This window comes from Homo sapiens, chromosome 3, assembly GCF_000001405.40.
Source record: "Homo sapiens chromosome 3, GRCh38.p14 Primary Assembly".
Lineage (NCBI taxonomy): Eukaryota > Metazoa > Chordata > Mammalia > Primates > Hominidae > Homo > Homo sapiens.
The window spans coordinates 46,049,474-46,068,703 of NC_000003.12; the positions used below are offsets into that span (position 1 = coordinate 46,049,474).

Genomic DNA, 19,230 nt, shown 5'->3' on the forward strand with positions numbered 1-19,230 from the left:
AGCGAATAACTTGTTGAAGTCTTAAAAATAAGCAGTTCTGGGTCTAGTGTATTTTTAATTGTAGCAGTTTCTATGTGACTGGCTACATTTACAACGTAAGCTGAATCACAGACAATTTTGATAGGATCTGAAGCTGTGAGCTCTAACACCTGAATGACTGCAATTAGCTCTGAGGATTGAGCTGAAACCCCAGAGGTCATTATTGTTTGAGTATGTTTTGGTCCATAGATAGCTGCATGACCTTTGGAAGAACCATCAGTAAAATAAGTCTGTCCACCTGGAGTAGGCTTGTGATGAATAATGAATAATCACAGGAAGAATGAAAGAATGGATTTTATAAAATTGTAAAATTTTGTCTGAAGGGTAGTGGTTATCTATAGCACCCACGAAGTCTGCAAAAGTAGTCTGCCAGGCAGTTGACATTTCCCAAGCTGTGGCTTGTTGCTGGGAGTCTACAGGAACAATAATTTTGTCAGGATCATATCCCATAAGCATTCTTGACCTATGCCTGCCCATAGTCACAATTTGTGTAATTAAAGAAAGATAAACTTGCAAGGTTTTGACTGTTTGATTAGGTAGAAAGAGCCATTCTATTACTGTTACAGACTTGTCTATGAACTGGCCCAAAAGTCCTCTTGGAGAGTTGGGGGTAGGAAGAATAAACAAAAGCAAAGGTTTTTGCAGTTGTAGCGGTGAGGCATGTCTCTGCTGTGACATTTGCTCTACAAGCCGTAATTCGGCTTCTGCCTCTTTAGTTAATTGCTGCAGCGAATTTAAAGAACAGTCTCCTTGCAGGGTTTGGTAAAGATGTGTAAGTTGATAGGTAGCAGCAATACTTAACATCGGTCGTAGCCAGTTAATATCTCCTAATTGTTGAAAATCATTTAAAGTCTGTAACCTGTCTTTACAGAGAACTACTTTCTGAAGCCGTACACTCCTCTCCATTAACAATACTTCCTAAGTATTGGTATGGGGAAGTTGTTTGCACTTTCTCTGGAGCAATTTTGAGATTCCATTTGACAAGAGCTCGCTTTACTTCTCTGAATAATTTATGTAAAATTTGATCTGTAGGAGGGGCCAAAAGAATATCATCCATAAAATGAATGATATACGCAGTGGGAAACATATTTTGAGGCTCCTTTAATGCTCCTCCCACAAAATGCTGAGGTAATGTGGGACTGTTAAGCATGCCTTGAGGTAAAACTTCCCATTGATAGTGAGACACGTTCTCTTTGATTAACAGAAGGCACAGAGAAGGCAAATAGAGGCTCATCCTTCTCGTGTAAGGAGGGTATAGTAAAGAAACTATCCTTAAGATCTATAATTACAAGAGGCCAGTCTCTTGAAATGGCCACTGGGGAAGGTAAACCTTGCTGTAATGCGCCCATCGGTTTAATTTGTGCATTAATAGCTCTCAAATTATGCAGCAATCACCATCTTCTGGACTTTTTTTGGAATAACAAATACCGGTGAATTCCAGGGGCTGACTTTTCTGTATGTCCTGCATTCAATTGCTCTTTTACCAACAGATGAAGTTGATCTAGCTTCTCCTGTGTTAGGGGTCATTGATCCACCCACACAGGTTTGTCACTAAGCCATTCTAATGGTAAGGGCTTAGGCGGAGGAGAAATATCAATGACCCCCGTCAGAAATTCTGACGCTCTAGCTGCTTTTCTATCTGTTTTTCCAGTTACTGATAACAGATTAGGGTTTTCTTGTAGAAACCTCCCCAAACCTTTTCCACTCTGATATCTCATGTTCTTCAACATTTTAAATCCTGGGTTATCAAAGTTTTTATTTGTAAGTCTCATATCCCATGCTGTAAGTCAGTCTTGACCCCATAAATTGATAGCTATATTTGTGACATAAGGCTGAAAAGTACATGACTGTCCATCCAGACCAAGACAAGGTAAAATCTCAGCACTCTGTTGAACACTTTGAGCTGTTCTTGCTCCCACTAAGGACGTAGAAGTTAATTGCAAGGGCCAGGATGGGGGCCAATTGTCTTTAGATATTACTGACACATCAGCTCCCATATCCATAAGCCCATAAAATTTCTTTCCTTTAATTTGTACTACACAGGTGGGTCTATTAGAGGCTATGGGTTGGGGTAGATAGATTTCCCGCGTAGTTGTGCTCCCAAACCCTTTATTTCCTTGTTTCTCCTTTTGTGGAGAAGGGTGTAATTTGCAGGGAATAAGTAATAATTGCACTATGTATTCTCTCAGTTCAAAAACCCAAAGATCTTGTGACATTAAAACTACTTGAATTGGCTGGGAGCGGTGGCTCACGCCTGTAATCCCAGCACTTTGTGAGGCTGAGGCAGGCGGATCACGAGGTCAGGAGATTGAGACCATCCTGGCTAATACGGTGAAACTGTGTCTCTACTAAAAATACAAAAAATTAGCCAGGTGTGGTGGCGGGCGCCTGTAGTCCCAGCTACTTGGGAGGCTGAGGCAGGAGAATGGCATGGACCCGGGAGGCGGAGCTTGCAGTGAGACAAGATTGCGCCACTGCACTTCAGTCTGGGCAACAAAGTGAGACTCCATCTCAAAAAAACAAAAACAAAAAAAAAACTTGAATTTCTCCTTCATAACCAGAGTCAACAACTCCTGGGACTACAGTAATGCCTTGCAAGTTAAGGCGGCTTTTGCCTAAAATTAGTCCCATATATCCTGCTGGTAAATGTCCCCAAATACCGGTGGGAACTTTGATGGGTTTGTCTCCCCCAACTAATGTAACCCTTTGTCTGGCTGGGAGATCTAATCCTGCACTTCCTGGTGTTCCTGGGGTGAGGGAATCAATATGCCTCTGGGAACCCATGCCTGAAACGGGGTTGAGGTCTGGGCTGGGGATGCCCTGATTGTTTGTGGGGCCCGGGTCCAGGCCCCCGTCTCATTTCCCAACAGGGGGGTGCCATTCTGATGAAATTTTGAGTGGCACTGATTAGCCCAGTGATTTCCTTTGTTATAGGGAGGACAGTCCTGGTATTTTTTCCCCTGGGTGGGGCACTGCATTGTAAGATCCTTTCTGTCCTGAGATCTGGTGGCATTCCTTTTTACAATATCCAGTTTTTCCACAATTATAACACTTTCCCATTTTAGAGCCTGACCCTTGGCTCCTTTTAGATTTGTCAACTACTAAATTAGCTATTACTTCAGCTAGCATTGAAGAGCAATGAAGTTCAGTTCTTACATCCTGACAAGCTCTGAGAAAATTTCCCAAGTTCTTTGTACACCTCACCGGTGCCAGTGCGCGTTCATAATCTGCGTTTGCATTCTCAAAAGCTAGAGTAAAGGTTAGCATTTCTGCAGCCAAGGTATGAGGAATCTGACGCTTCACTGCATCTTGTAATCTTGCAAGAAATTGTGCCTAGGTTTCTTGCGACCCTTGCGTGATATGTAAAAAGGATTATACTGGGACTCCCTCTTAAGGAATTGTGGCCCAGGCGCATTTAGTGGCCTGTGTGCACTGCTGATAAGCAGCATTTGTGAGTATCATTTCATGTTCCAGGTCTGAATAAGGGCCATTACCCAATAGCATATCCTTTATAATGTCTCCGTTTCCAGCAGCATGGTTCTATCCAGCCTGGTCTGCACCCAGTTCTTGCCAGTTTAAATTCCATGTCAGATATGCGCTAGCAGACAAGCAAGTTTGCGCCAAGTGTTTCACATCAAAGGGTAGAAGACACATAGCACCAAACACAGATTCTAGCAATCCTAAAGTGAATGGGCTCTGTACGCCATTATTTACCACACTCGCTTTTAATTCCTTTAACAACTTAAACTCTAGTGGAGTGTGTTCATGATTAAGCTGCTGTGGATTATTTGGATCAGGACTTACGGAAATAGGAAAAGCACGAGGTCCTAAGGGCTCTCCAGCCATGGCAGCAGAACGTAAAATTCTTTGTATTGGGGTCTCTGTTTCTGCCACCGAAGGAGGCGGTACAGATGTTTCTGCAACTGGAGGGGGCGGTATAGGCCAATTTTTATCCTCCCTCTCCTGTTTTTTATTTTCAATTGGAGCTGTGGGTGGGACAACAGATTCTTTCAGATTTTTAGATTCAGCCTGCTGTCCCGCAGAATAATAAGGAGATAATGGCAGAAGTACAGTACGAACTAAACTCCAAGAGGAGAAAACTGAAGAATAACTTTAAAACCTTTTTGATGAACCTGTTTTAATCCTTCTCCTGCTCTGTCCCAATTTTCCACATCAAGAGTGCCTGCCTGTGGAAACCATGGGTTATGCATAATAACCTCCCATAGCATCTTAGTTAATGTGAGAACTAACCTGAGCACCAGTTTGTTTCAACAAAACTTTAAGCAACTGCACATAATGTTTTTCTTCAACAGACCAATTCTGCCCCATGTTACCCTGATTCAGAAAACTTCCCATTCCCAGTACTACTTTAAGGCACTGCTCCCAGTAGCTCTTTAGGGCACTGACCATAATTATATCCGCTGCTGGCAGACTCATCCCGGGCTCCCTGTTCGCCTTGTCAGTTTCAGTTCCTCTGCTCCAGCAGATCTTCTTCATTCACGTCCTCAAAGTCCCTTTTCTGGGGTGCCACTATGTAACCCACATGGACCTAGGGGGACTGAACAAAGGGGGGCAAACGCGGGAATAAAAGACAAAGACAAAAGAGCATATTTGGAAGAAGGGGTCAGGGAGCACCTTGCCTCTAGTGGACAAGGGCCCTGAGCTTTACACAGCCCTCCATATTTATTAGGCAAAAGAGATAGCGAGAAGGTGGGTGTGGAAGAAGGGGTCAGCTGCTTGGTCCAGAGTAGGCTTGCAAGACTGCATTCTCTAGATGTCCCAGTAGATAACCTCAAGGAGCTTGAGGCCAGGAAGCGATTGCCCTCAGCAAACCTTCTGGCAGTGGGAGCAGTCGTGAGTTTGCCCAGATCCTGCGTTCATGATAAACAGTTTGTTGTTTGATCATATAGCATCCAGTGGAATGCTGAGTTGGTCAGTCCCACGGGCGTTCGGCTCCCTGCAAAGTGGGAACTAAATAATGTGTACACAAGAGTGTAGAGTGTGGAATGGTAGACAATGGACACTCAAAAGGACGAGGGGGGGGCGAGTGTGATGGATTACTGTTACCGAAACACCAGGGGTTTGGTGTAGGTACTGCTGCTGGCTGCACAGAAAATCAGTGACTGAGATGACGAGTATTACCAAGGAAGAAAGCTTTAATCAGGTGCTGCAGCTGAGGAGATGGGAGCTCAGTCTCAAATCCATCTCCCTGACCAACTAAAACTAGAGGTTTATATAGCAGGAAAGAAATGTAACAATGTGTAAAAAAACAGGAACTAGGGAGGGGCAAGGAAGCAATCATGATGAATGAGGGGGTCAGGCATCTCATTGGTTTGTGCTGGGAAGCATTGCCACCTGAATAAGAAGTGGTCCACAGACACGGATGATCAGTCAAATGCACCTAGGAGCCAATGGTCAGCCAAGATCAGGAAAAACTGACCTAAGGAAATCGATCACTGGTGGAATCCTTAGCAGAAAAGGCATATGTAACTCAGGGTGGGAGGAAGAAGGTCTCTCTTAAGTTATATCCCTTGTTGCCCTCTGCAGTGTATTGAGTTCAGGCCAGGAAGAAGTAGACAGAGTGCTGAAGCCATCCTTGCAGAGTTAACAAGAATTTTGGACAGAAATACATATAATGAAGCATTAATCAGGGTACACTTCCACTCACTTCTTTGTAACCAAAAGTCACGTAGCACTTGATACTGACCATTGGCATCCCTGTTGTTCCTATAGATAGGATTTCTGATGTTAGAATCATAAGGCTTTTATTTAAGATAGATAAGATCTGAGTCATGTACATGAACAAAACAATCATAAACAAAATCAGAAGGTTTTTGTTTAAGAATTTCTAAGATGTTTTCCAGATCCCAAATTCCAGCCAAACAGCTGTTGCCAACTAGTTTGAAGACCCCTCCAGACGAATGGATCATAATGAAAATACAGTTTCTTCATCCTCTTGTCCCATGACTTCACCCTGCACTCTTTGACCAGTCAACAGTCTCCACACTTTGGCTCACTCCAAAACCCTTAAAAACCCTAGCCACAAACTCCTCAGTGAGACAGATTTGAAGTTTCTTCCCATCTCCTCATTCAGTGGCCCTATGATTAAACCTCTTTCTCTGCTGCAACCCGGTGTCTTGGTGTACTGACTTGCTCTGTGCATCAGGCAATGAACCTATTACAGTTACAGTACCTCAGAGGGTCCTCTGGAGACCTGGATTCCGTAATTTCAAGGTACCTTGAAGGATCCCTGCTTGTCCAGCAGTAGGGCCCATGTGGAAACATGGAGTTAAGGGAGCCACCACCACTCTGCCAAGCATCAACTTAATCAGATCTCTTAACAACACTATGAAGAAGAGACAATCAATATTTGAAATTTGCAGATAAGCCAGCAGAGGTGCTCAGAGGTTAAAGTCACTCACAGTTAATCAGCAAGAAAATGGTGGTTGAGTGGGATTCAGTCCAACTTGTCTGGCTCCAAAGTCTCAGGTTTCTAGGGCTTGGTTTAAGGGGAGCCACACTTGTTTCCAAGATTGGGCTTGGGGTTGGGATTGGTTGTTAAGCAGTCTCTTGACTCCTTAGGCTGGCTGGGACTGTCTTCCTCCACTCTTCTTCCTACTGCTCTCAGAAATGTGTGGTGTAGGTGCAGTGCTTGTTATATAGGGGTCAGACTAGCATTTCAAGAGTTCGTTTTTTTTCTTTTTATTTTTAGTAGAGATGGGGTTTCACCATGTTGGCCAGGCTGGCCTCAAATTCCTGACCTCAGGTGATCCACCTGCCTCAGCCTCCCTAAGTGTTGGGATTACAGGCGTGAGCCACTGCAACCAGCCTCAAGTTTTCATTTCAATACTTCTTTTAACACAAAATTTATGACCCACATACCAATCAAGGACTTTTGGGTGACAAATTTAAAACTTGGGGGGATGGTACAATTATTCTAGAAAGCAGTTTGGCAGTTTTTCTTTCTTTTATTTTTTTTGAGACAGGGTCTCACACTGTTGCCCAGGCTAGAGTGCAGTGGTGCAATCACAGCTCGCTGCAGCCTCAACCTCCTGGACTCAAGCAATTCTCCTGCCTCAGCCCCTCAAATAACTGGGACTACAGGCGCATGCCACCACACCTGGCTAATTTTTGTATTTATTTATTTTTTTTTTTGTAGAGATGGGGTTTCGCCATCTTGCTCAGGCTGGTCTCCAACTCCTGAACTCAAGTGATCTGCCCACCTTGGCTTCCCAAAGTGGTGGGATTACAGGCTTGGAGCCCCTGTACCTGGCTGGCAGCTTCTTTGAAAGTTAAACAAACACCCATGTGTTTGTTTACCTAGGAGTCATCTGGCTCCTAGGTATTTACTAGAGAAAGCCAAAAACAATTTCCGTGCAAACATTTGCTCACAAAAGACCGTAGCAGCTTTACTTGTAATAAAGCAAAACTTAAAGCAGCCCTAGTGTCCATCAGTGGGTGAAAGGATAAATCAACTGTGGAATATCCACACAGTGAAATACTCTCAGCATTAAAAAGAAACAGATTCATCATCACCCTACAATGTGAGTGAACCTCAAAATAATGATGCTAAATGCAAGAAGCAAGAAAGAGTACATAATGTATGATTCCATTGTTTTCCGTTTTTAGTTTTTAGAGGTGAGTCCTGCTATGTTTTCTAGGCTGGACTTAAATTCTTGAGCTCAAGAGAGTCAACTGCCTCAGCTAGCCAAGTAGCTGGGACCATAGGCATATGCTACTGCACCTGGCTTGATTCCATTTATGTAAAGTTCTAGAAAATGCCAACTAATTTATAGTGACTGAAACAGATCAGATCAGTGGTTGCCTGGGGTTTGGGATGAGGGAAAGATGGATTATAAAGGGGCGCAAAGCAACTGTTGGGGATGATGAAAAAATTGGCGTCTTGATTTTGGTGATAATTTCATGGGTTTCCACATATGTTAAAATAAATCAGAAGACACACTTTAAATAGGTGCAGTTTATTGTACTTTAATTATACCTTGTGATAGCCAGTTTTATGTGCCATCTAGGCTAGGCTGTATTCCACAGCTATTCAATCAGACATGATTCTAGGTGTTGTAGATGTGATTAACATCTACAATCGGTTTACTTTATGGAAAGGAAATTATTCCTAATACTCTAGGAGGCCCGATTCCTCCTAGAGTTGAAAGGCGTGAATGCAGAACTGGTTTCCCTGAAGAAGAAATTCTGCCTGTGGATTGCAGTTAGCCTTTACCTGAGAGTTCCAGCCTGCTCTTCCCGATGGCTGCCCTGCAGAGTTTGGATTTCCCTAATCAGTCCCTACAATTGTGTAAGACAATTTCTTGCAATAAATCTCTATCTAGTACCTATTATCATCTTATCTGTCTGTCTATCTATCTATCTATCTATCTATCTATCTATCTATCTATCTATCTATCTACGCATCCATCTATCTATCTATCTGCCATCTATGTATCTATCATCTATCGATCATCTATCTTGCTACCTATCTCCTACATCCTACTGGATATCCTACTGGTTCTGTTTCTCTAGTGAAAGCCTGACTCATATGGATTTAGGTAATGGAAGTGGTTCTAAAAGAACAAAATCTTAAGGATGAATTTTCTGAATTGCCTCTCTCGTATGATTCAATTTAAGGCCAGTAATGACTCTATTTCCATTGGTAAAGAGGGCATGGAATGAGGTGGCAAAATATTCCTGGATATTCCTGATCAAATGCTTATTAAAGGTAAGGTTCTGGTGATCATGTATTTGATACCTTTGGGGCATTTAGTCAAAATAAGGTGTATAGTGAGATTGGCTGGTTGCTCCTGACTATGTTAGAGAAAGTGGAGAAGGAAAAGGATGAACTCAGGGCTTCAAATTGCCAGCTGAGCTCCACATATATGATCCAAAAGCTTCTATGTCTGTCCTTAAAGAAACCCTGTCTCTGTAGATGCAGGACTGGAATTTCTGAAAACCAAATCCTGAGTCTTATCCTGCAAGTGGCTGTATTACAATGCAAATTGAATTCACAACGTTGCAGGGCATCTTCTGATTTTATTTTATTTTAGACAAGGTCTTACTCTGTCACCAGGGCTGGAGTGCAGTGGTGAGATCATGGCTTAGTGCAGCTTCTACCTCCTGGGCTCAAGCGATCCTCCCACCTCAGCCTCCTGAGTAGTTGTAGTCCTGAATAGCTGGGACTATAGACGGGTGCCACCATGCCCAGCTAGTTTTCCTGTATTTTTGTAGAAACAGGGTTTTACCATGTTGCCTAGGCTGGTCTTGAACTCCTGAGGTCAAGGGATCCACCCACCTTGGCCTCCCAAAGTGCTGGGATTACAAGTGTGAGCCATGATGACCGGCCATAGGGTGTCTTCTGTTAGAGTGAAGGCATTGATTGGGAAGTAATGGGCTCTTCAAAATCAGAGTGGGGACATATGAAAAGATCCTAAGGAAGGTGGGGTCATTACATCCCTAAATATTGTTGAGTCTTCTTTGCCAGCAGAAGCAGCCCTTTTACTGCTGTCTGACCCACTAAATCCTAAGGTGGGGTGTGCACAATAGCACTCCATCATCAAATGGAAATGGTAAATATGAGACAGGCCCGAGCCAGCCTTGAAGGCACAAGAAAGTTAGCTGAGGAAGTGGCCCATATACCTATAGAGCTGATTCTTCCTACACTGCCTTCTCTGTCTCAGCCTGTACCTATGGCCTCATGAAGAATTCCCTGTGATTAGCTGAATGAGGAAGAGAAAAACTCAAGTTTGCTTATAGTTGGTTGTGCACAATATGCAGGCATCACCCAAGATGTTCAGGTGTAGCAATACATCTTCTCTCTGGGTCATTCCTAAACCACAGTGATGAGAAGAAATACTCCCAGTAGGCAGAACTTGGAGCATTGCACTTGGTTGTTCATTTTGCTTGGAAGGAAAAATAGGTACTTAAACTCTCAATCACATTATTTATAGACAGTCTCAGGGTTCAGTCCCACAAATTGCAGCCTGTGAACATTTGAATTTGCTAGTTGATTTCAGAAAGAAAATCTTAGTTCCCAATTTCTAATTTCAGTGACAATGATGTTAAAAAAAAAACTTTCACTCTTACTTCTATATAACATGCAGTATACGTATTCCATTTCCCACTTTTAGCAAAAAAGAGGAAATGGTGCCTGGCTACTTTTCACTTCCACTTGGCTGAGGACTGAATACTCATGACCAATGTCCCTGACAAAGTTTTTGTGTTTGTGTATACACCTTTATTGAGGTGTGTGTAAATAAACGTTCCACCAAAGAAACAAAACCAGAAGAATGGATATCTACAGCTATCGTCTATATTTATATCTATATCTATCTTTACAATAAGAAAGTCATACTTTCTATTAACATGATACAACTGAAATTGTGCTAACCTTTTCCCTGGAACAGGTTGCAGTGTCCTTGAGTGATAGTAGTTCTTTCCCTAGATACCTTGTAACTTAAATACTAGGACGTAAAGTCAATCACTGTTAATACATCTTATGTTAGATGATAAGAGTATAAAGAGGGAAAAACTCAAAAATATTTGCTTAATGCATATCTATCCGTACAAACATATAACAAAATAGAAAGAAATACTCATATATAGTCCTCATTTCTGCATCTGGTCATATGGTCATAGCTGTTTATATAACATAGCTGTATCTATTTATAGATACCTTCTTCCACTACCCATGACTTATTCCTTTTGCCCTCAGTAAGCACCTAAGCTTGCCATGGTTCTTTGCTTGGTGGGTGACCCCAATCTTCATTTCTGAAACCTGGGCCATTAGCAGTTCTTCCTGAACTCGGTTGTAGTTCTCCATTGACTTTAATCACAGGACATGGTAGTACTAATAGGTGCCCTAAGGAATCTCTTGTATTACAAATATACTTTGTCTTCTTCTATTGTGTAGTAGCAGCCCAATTTCCCTTTGGTAATCAGGATCAATCATCCCAACCAACACAGCACTCCCTTATTTGCCTGTTAATTCATAGGTAAGAGGAGCCCAAAGTGGCAGGGTGGCAGTTTTAACTTGTAATTCAATGGAATCATTGTTGAATCTCCTGGTGGAAGCATTCCTCCCTTTGTAACTAAGACCTGTAGACCAGCTGAGCATAAGGTCACAGGAACAGAAGCAAACATTTTGCTAGGGGATTACCTATGGTAATAGTGAGTGGTGCCACTCCCATTTCTATCTCCTGATTCCTGGACCGGTGACTCCTGGCTATGGAGAAACAGTATGTATATTGGATGCTGATTTACAGCACACACATCCTCCTGGAGGACGCTTCCCCAGTACTACAAGATATTGCCATCTGGCTGCCACCATAATTGAGTCTTCACAGGCCATTCCACTATTCTATCAAGCCTGCTGCTTCAGGATGATGGGGAATATGGTTAGTCCAGTAAATTGAATAGGCATAAGCCCACTGCCACACTTCATTTGGTGTGAAGTGAGTTCCTTACTCAGAAGTAATGTTATGTGGGAATACCATGATGGTGGAAAAAGTATTCTTCAAGTCCACAGATGGTATTATTACTATTTTATTTTTTATTTTTTGCAGAAGCATTGCATTCAGAAAAAGCAAATCCTTTTTGGTGGGGGGAATGGGAGGAAAGCAAATCTGTGTCCAGAGTAAGTGTCTATTCCAGTAAGAACAAAACACTGCCTCTTCCATGATGGAAACAGTCCCGTGTAGTCAGCTTACCACTAAATAAGCTGGCTGATCACTCTGGGGAATTGTCCCTATCAGAGACTCAGTGTTGATCTTTGCTTCTGGCCAACTGAATGCTCAGCAGAGGCTGCAGCCAGGTCAGCCTTGGTGAGTGTAAGTCCATGTTGCTGAGCCCATGCATAACTTCAATTCCTGCCACCATGGCCACTTTGTCCATGAATCTGTTGGGAGATGACAGGAGTGTCTGGAGAAAGAAGCTAACTGACTCACAGAGTGGATCATCCAAACCACTTGATTATTAAAAATTTCCTCTACTGAGTTCACCCTTTGGTGAACATTCACGTGGGACATTCCCCTGCATTCCCTTCTCTCTTATGGGATGTTGCTCAACTTCCTTGCTGAGAACCTTTGGGCTGAAGCATGGCTTCCAAGGACTCCTTAGGACAGTCCTTTTAAAATCAGAAGATACAGCCATATCTCAGTGAAGCTGGAGCCTGGGGTCCTGCGAGGGGAAAGGAATATGGGGAGTTAGAGGTACAGAGGATGGGGGTTAGGCGGCTGATGCCAGAAGGAGTCATGGGGGTGCCAGGCCTGGGCTTCTTTCCCTGGTCTCCTGGGCATCTGGGCATGGTGACTGAGAAAGCCCCAGGTGAGTGTAAAGCATTGGAATGGGGGCTTGAATTCAGAGGCCCAGCTAGGTCCAGCACTGTGGGCAAAGCTGGATTTGAAGAGTCTGGCATAGAAGGTATCTTCTCTGGGATGGATTCCATCCCCGGAACCCCTAAGGGAAGGGTTTTGTGTGGCAAAGGATCATGAAGGGAGTGCCATAAGCTTTTGGAGGTGTCAGCCAGACTCCAATTTGGACAGTGCCCATTACATACAGAAGACGTTGAGTCAGCAGAATTGGGCCCAGGGCACCTCTGGGACTTTGGGGCTTTTTCAGTGAGTGGTTAGGGTTCAGGAGAAAATAGATGGTTTCTGAACTCCTTGGGGAGATGCAGGCCTCCTGGAAGCAGGACCAGTGGATGTGAGTCCCTGCAGCAGCCATGGACATGCCCGCTCAGCTGTCCTTCAGGAGACCCTGCTGCAGGATGCATGGTGGAATGATGGCCTCAGCTACTTCCACCATGAACACTGAGGCCACATGCCAGTCTCCCCACACCCCCCACTACTTCTGGCTAATGACTGAACTTGGAGCCCTCCCATTCTTGCCTGGAGCAGAACTCCTCTAAGGGCAACTTTTGCCCTGGGTCTCCCCATTGGCCTTGCCAAGACTTCCTCAGAACTTTCTATGTTACGGTCTAAGGTTCAACCTCCTGGATCCTTTTTCCTTCCCCCTTCCTTTTATAGGTGCTGGATCTGCATCTCTGTCTAAAGGCTCTCCCTGCCTACTTTTGCTCCTTCTCCCGTTACTCTTTTGGGAATTTTCCCCAATAGTTCTCTTGTATCTCTAATTCCCTCTTGGGGTTCACTTTTGAAATTCCAACAGAACAGGAGCTCAGGGCCATTCTGGCTTCTCAAGCCTAACATGGGCCATCCTTTCCCCAGGAGGCAACAGGGCCTTGTGGAAAGGAGCAGAAAGGAGGTTGGCAGCATCCAGAGGGCCTGTCGTCTCCGATGGAACTCCTAGCCTATCTCTGGGCTGGGGTGGCTCTAGTGGTGGAAGATAGGAGAGTTGGTTTTGGATCTGGGCAGAAGTATGCAGGAGCTGGCTCATACCAGTTTGTGTTCTATTTTTAGGAAAGTTGCAAGCTTGAAATCAGCCAAAGTGGAAGTATTTGGACCTCAAGACAAACACTGCAAATCAGAGCTTTTTCCTTTAGAGACCTGGTTGTTAAAATTTACTAGCACACCACTGAATGGAAGGTTATCATTTTCTTAGAATTGCTATTGGGATAAAGTTCCGAATTATTATCCTAGCTGCTATAGCTCTATCATTCAGGGTCCCAGTAGGAATCAAGTGGCTCTCTCAAAAAGGTAATTGATGACAATTCAAGGAAGAGACCATTTACAAAGGTGTGGCAGGATATAGGGAATGCAAGAAGGGATGGTAAAGTATCCCTGATCTAACAATAGTGGGAAGCTGCTACTAATCCTAGGCCTGAGCACATAGGAGAAAGAGCCATTGGAGAACCTAGTAAGACCTAAAGCCTTAGGAGAGGGCTGCTTGGCAGGGCACACAGCCGTGGGCAGAGGAACATGGTTACTTTCACCCCAGTCCAGCAGAGACGAAACCAGAAAAATACATACTCCACTTTCTTTTTCCCCCGACCCCTGAGTTCCCCTGTCTAAACTCCTGCTGGTGCCTCCACTGTCGCCAACCAGGAGAAAAGGGAACTGTGGGTGCAGCTCATACACATCAGTCCTCAGAAGCACAAGGCAGGTGGAAAAGGTGGAAGGTGGATCTACATGAACACCCAAGGGCAGAGCCTCGGGTGATCTGTCCTTATGCCACCTGCCCAGCCTAACTCGATGCCCACTGCCCTTGCCCACTGCACTGTGGGGCACACACTGTTTCCTCTGCCTGAAAACTCTCTCACGTCCCCCTTCCCCTAGTTCATTACTTCTCATCTTTGGCTTAAATGTTAACCTCCTAAACATGTAATCCTCTTTGTTGATTGTACCCTTTGGCACACTGTTGTTTATCTGCTTATGGCAAATCTTTTTTCCCAATGGTTATTACTAATATTTTTTGAGACAGGGCCTCGCTCTGCCACCCAGGCTGGAGTGCAGAGGTGCAATTATGGCTCACTACAGCCTTGACCTCCTCCCAGGCTTGAGCAATCCTCCCACCTCAACCTCCCTAGTAGCTGGGACTAAAGGTGGATGTTACCATGCCAGGATAATTTTTTTATTTTTAGTAGAGACAAAGTCTTGCTGTGTTGCCCATCCTGGTCTCAAACTCCTGGCCTCAAGTGATCCTCCCACCTTGGCCTCCCAAAGTGCTGGGATTACATGTGTAAGCCAATGTGTCTGGCCCCTAATGATTATTTAACAATAATAATACCAGTATTCAACATTGACTGAACACATATCATGTGCCAGGCACTGCGTAATTATTTGTTAGACTCTTTTAGACTACAGTCTCCATAAGGGCAGGGATCATGTCTCTGTATTGTTCATTGGTCTGTCTCTCCAGTGCCTAGGGCAGTAGCTGGCACATACCAGGAACTCAACAAACATGTATGGAGTAAAAAAATCCCACAATGAGCCTTGCAAGTTTTTCCTAGCTCTCTTGTATCATGGGAGGTTAAATATGGCTGCAAATTCTTTACTGCTCCTCCCACTGAGAGATGAAGTCCAATTCCACTCCCTTGAAATCCCTCATTGACTTGCTTGACTGATAGAATGTGGCTGGAGTGACATTCTTGGACTTGTAGCTCATAAGAAGCCTTGCAGCTTCCACCTGGGTCTCTTGGAACATTCTCACTTGGTGCTCTGACCACCACTTTCGAAGTGCGACACATGAAGCCACCATGCTGGTGAGGCCACATGCAGGAATGGTAGATGGTTCCAGCTGCGCCTAGCTCTCCAGCCTTCTCTGCTCAGCCCCAGGTATCCACCAGCTCAACAGCACCAAGGGACCCCCACTGATGCCACTTGGAAGAGTTACCCAGGGCGGGTGCAGTGGCTCACGCCTGTAATCCCAGCACTGTGGGAGGCTGAGGTGGGTGGATCACCTGAGGTTGGGAGTTCAAGAACAGCCTGACCAACATGGAGAAACCCCGTCTCTACTAAAAATACAAGATTAGCCGGGTGTGGTGGCGCATGCCTGTAATCCCAGCTACTCGGGAGGCTGAGGCAGGAGAATTGCTTGAACCAGCAAGGTGCAGGTTGTGGTGAGCCAAGATCCCGCCATTGCACTCCAGCCTGGGCAACAAGAGAAAAACCCTGTCTCAAAAAAATAAAGAAATAAAAAAAAAGGAAAAAAAAATAGAGTTACCCAGCCAAGCTCTACTCAACTTTCTGGGTCACAAAATTATAAGATCTAATAAAATGGTTCTTTTAAGCCTCTACATTTTGGGGCACTTTGTTATGTAGCAATAGTCAAAACAAGTAATATTGGTTAGGGGAAAATCCCCAACCTGCTTTTCCTTCCCACCTTCACCCATCCCGCACTTTCAGGCTCCCCTTAGGGACTGTTACCTGCAGGAGTCTTGCTAGCTTTCTAGCAACTTAACTTTGATGTGGCTTTAAGAGAGGTGCCTGAGCTTCCATTTGCCACACTCTGGGGAATCCCCCAAATGCTAACCTGTCCACTCTACAACAAGCTCCGGCAGCTGAGCTGTTCTGGGCCACCTGCCAAATATCATATGATACTCCCTTGATGTCGGGTGACAGTAAAATTCACCGACTCCTGGGTGGAGGCCCTTTTCTTTGAAGCCTGCTCTGCTCACCCAACCACACACAGCCCACTTACACGGCATCACCAATTAGAGTTGGGGAAATGCAGGTGGTGGCCCCGGGCTACACCAAGCTCCACTGCTGCCTTGCTCTCTGGGTCAGATCTGTCTCAAGCAGAGCAAATTACTGCTGGAATCACCAGGGCTGTGAGGAGCTTCAGAGAATGACCAAGGTTAGCACTTAGAGGACTGAGCCCTGGGCGGTGTGCTCTAAATGTGTGTAGGGTCCTAGATGAAGGCTTTTGGATATTTCTGGTAGCACCAAAGACTAAACAGGCATTTGAGAAGCTTGAGGCGTCTTTGCCTGCTCCAGGGCCTCCGGAAGAGGCCACGTAGGGATGTCCCTGGGGCATTTGCTAACTCATTCTCAGAGGAAGATCCGAGGAAAATATATTCACTCCCTTGTCTCACTCCTTTGCTGCTCAAGCACATAAGGGTGGGTGGAAGGAGGGAGGCTAGCGACAGCATTCCTGGTGGAGGGAGCGAGGGTAGTAAGCACAGAGTGTGTTGTGATGCAGCAAGACAGGCTCACTAGGACCAGACCATGTAGTCTCAGACATACTCCTTGGTGCTCTTGGGCACAGCCTGCCTTCCTTCCTTCCTTCCTCCCTCCCTCCCTCCCTCGCTCTCTCTCTGCTTCTTTTCTTTTCTTTCTTTTTCTTTCTTTTCTTCGGAGTCTCACTCTGTCACCAGGCTGGAGTGCAGCAGTGCAATCTCAGCTCACTGCAACCTCCACCTCCCGGGTTCAAGCGATTCTCCTGCTTCAGCCTTCTGAGTAGCTGAGACTACAGGCACGCACCACCACGCCCGGCTAATTTTTATATTTTTAGTAGAGACGGGGTTTCACCATGTTGGCCAGGATGGTCTCAATCTCTTGACCTCTTGATCCACCCACTTGGGCCTCCCAAAGTGCTGCAATTATAGGCGTCGGCCATCCCGCCCAGCCACAGCCATCATTTCTTAGTGGGAAGTTGGTGTGGACTACACTAGGTGAGGCTCCTGGCATATATAGGTTCCCAGGCTCCACCCAGACCTGTAGAAACAGAAGCTCTTTGGATGGGGCCCAGGCCTCTGCATTTGTAACAAGTGTCTAAGCAGTCATGAAGAAGGAAGCCAGGCAGAGTAGAGGTTAATTCCATGGGTCTGGAGTTAGACCACGGGGGTTTAAACCCAGGTTCTAGCATTCAGTGCCTATGCAATTTTGGCACCTCAGTTTTATTATCTGAATTGCAGATAATTATAACACCGACTTTACTGAGTTGGTGTGAGGATTAAATAAATTAATATGAGTTAGATACTTACTACATAGATGGTGGGTCCTCAATAGCTGATTTTTCCAGCAACCTGAATGATGACAGTAGTGCAATGAGGAAGCCATATACCTGCAGTACAGAGTCAGACCTCAATACATGCTTGCTGAAGGGAGGACAGGAGCATAGCATATTCAGCCAGGCCATTGGCACAATCAGGCTGTGAACATTTGTTTTCACAGCTGGGCATAGCATACCTCTAGGTGCTGGGGGTTCAAAAAGGAATACCTGTGAAGATACTTGTGAGGTCACAGATATGGAAATGGATGATTAGGAGGCAGTGTGGTAAGTTCTATGTGAGGGGCAGGCTCTGAGCATAGCAGCTTTGAAGAGGCAGGTTAGGCTTCCTGGAGGAGGTGATGTCAAAGGGGGATCAGAAGGACAAGTAGGAGTTATCCAGGGAGAGGGGGCTGAATGCCAGATCTAGGGGAATATTCATGCACTAGTGGATATTCTGGGCCATCAGGGGGTTCAGTGTGGGTGAGGTGCATGGTGTAAGAGGCAGGAACATCAAGGTTTGAGACTGGAAAGATAAGCAGCATTAGCTGGTTGGATTGAGATGAGTTGGGCTAAATTGGGTTCCATGCCTTCAGTTCTGGCCAGCTCATGTCACCCATAGCACATTCTTACCACAAAGGTCACCTGTGTGTCCTTGAATAACACTCCTCCCTGGATTAGTCAATTATACACTGCTTTGGTGCCCAGAGCTATGAAAGGTCACAGAGGCCCAAATTCCTGCCCCAGGGAACACATGATCACTTTCTATTAGAGGACTGTTAACTAACTTGGGGACCATATTTCAAAACTGTCACATGGAGATTTAGGGAAAACCTCCTGGAAGAAGTGGCTTGGCTAAGTTTTGAAAAGTGCATAGGGGTGAGAACAGGGAGAGAAGAGGAAAGAGGACATGCTGTGGAGGGGCCAGCAAACGAGAAACTCAGGAGGCAGAAAATCTCAGGTCTGATTCAAAGGACTCTGGCTCAAGAGGGGAAAGTGTGTGCTAAGATGGGTGGTGGGAAAGGCAGAGGAGGGAGGCAAAGGTCTTTGTGTGTTAAGCTATAGAATTTGAAATTAGTGTTGAATGCAGAAATAATGAAAGATTTTAAGCAGGGGAATAAGGTCATTGGTGGATTCACTAGGATGCTCTTGGCTGCCAGTAACAGAGCACATGACTAAAGTGGCTTACATAGAGGGAGGCTGATAATTTCTGTTAGGAAGGTAGTTCTAGGGCTGATGCAGCAAATTCTACCAGCCTCAGCACCTCTGTGGCATCATTCCTCATAATTACAAGGTAGCTGCTATGGCTCCAAGCATCATGGCTTTATTACAGCATGCAAAACAGGAAACAAGGATACACATATCTATACCGGTGGCTCTCATTGGGTGCAATTTTGCCACGTCTGAAAGCATTTTTGGTTATCACAACTTGGGAGCAGCTGCTGGCATCTAGTAAGTACAGGCTTGCTTGCTTTCTTCTTGATATATCTTTAGTTCCTGGAATTTTCCTTTCCATTGTTATGTTAAATGCAGTGTCTTTTTTCCCTTTCAGTTTTTCAAAGGAGAATTACTTTGATTGATCTTGTTATTATGATAGAGCAGTGATGGTGGGAAGTTGGGGAAGTGTTGTCAACTTACAATAAATGCAGTTTGTCTATAGTCAACCCAGACATTGAAATATTGTCTCTGATATTTCCGCTGGAGGTTTCTGGTTTGGCCTGATTCTTTTAAAGATGCCGAGCCAACCTGATATTTTTTCTTCCTAAACAGCTTCCTTTTCCTGTTTCTTGTTTACCATGC

At 44.8% G+C, this 19,230-nt stretch overlaps 1 protein-coding gene across 2 annotated transcripts in view; it reads right to left on the minus strand.

Moving 5' to 3' along the window:
- The window catches only part of XCR1 (X-C motif chemokine receptor 1), a 68,838-nt gene that overhangs the window by 32,467 nt on the left and 17,141 nt on the right, over positions 1-19,230 (minus strand). The window contains exons 2-3 of one of the 2 annotated variants that reach the window (NM_001381860.1): positions 17,426-17,505; positions 4,447-4,597 (exon numbers count right to left, since the gene is read on the minus strand). The gene's annotated coding sequence lies outside the window, so the exon portion shown is untranslated. Of the gene's footprint in view, positions 1-4,446; positions 4,598-11,573; positions 12,208-17,425; positions 17,506-19,230 lie in introns of those variants that run through there. The other variant, NR_170111.1, reaches the window with a different exon arrangement.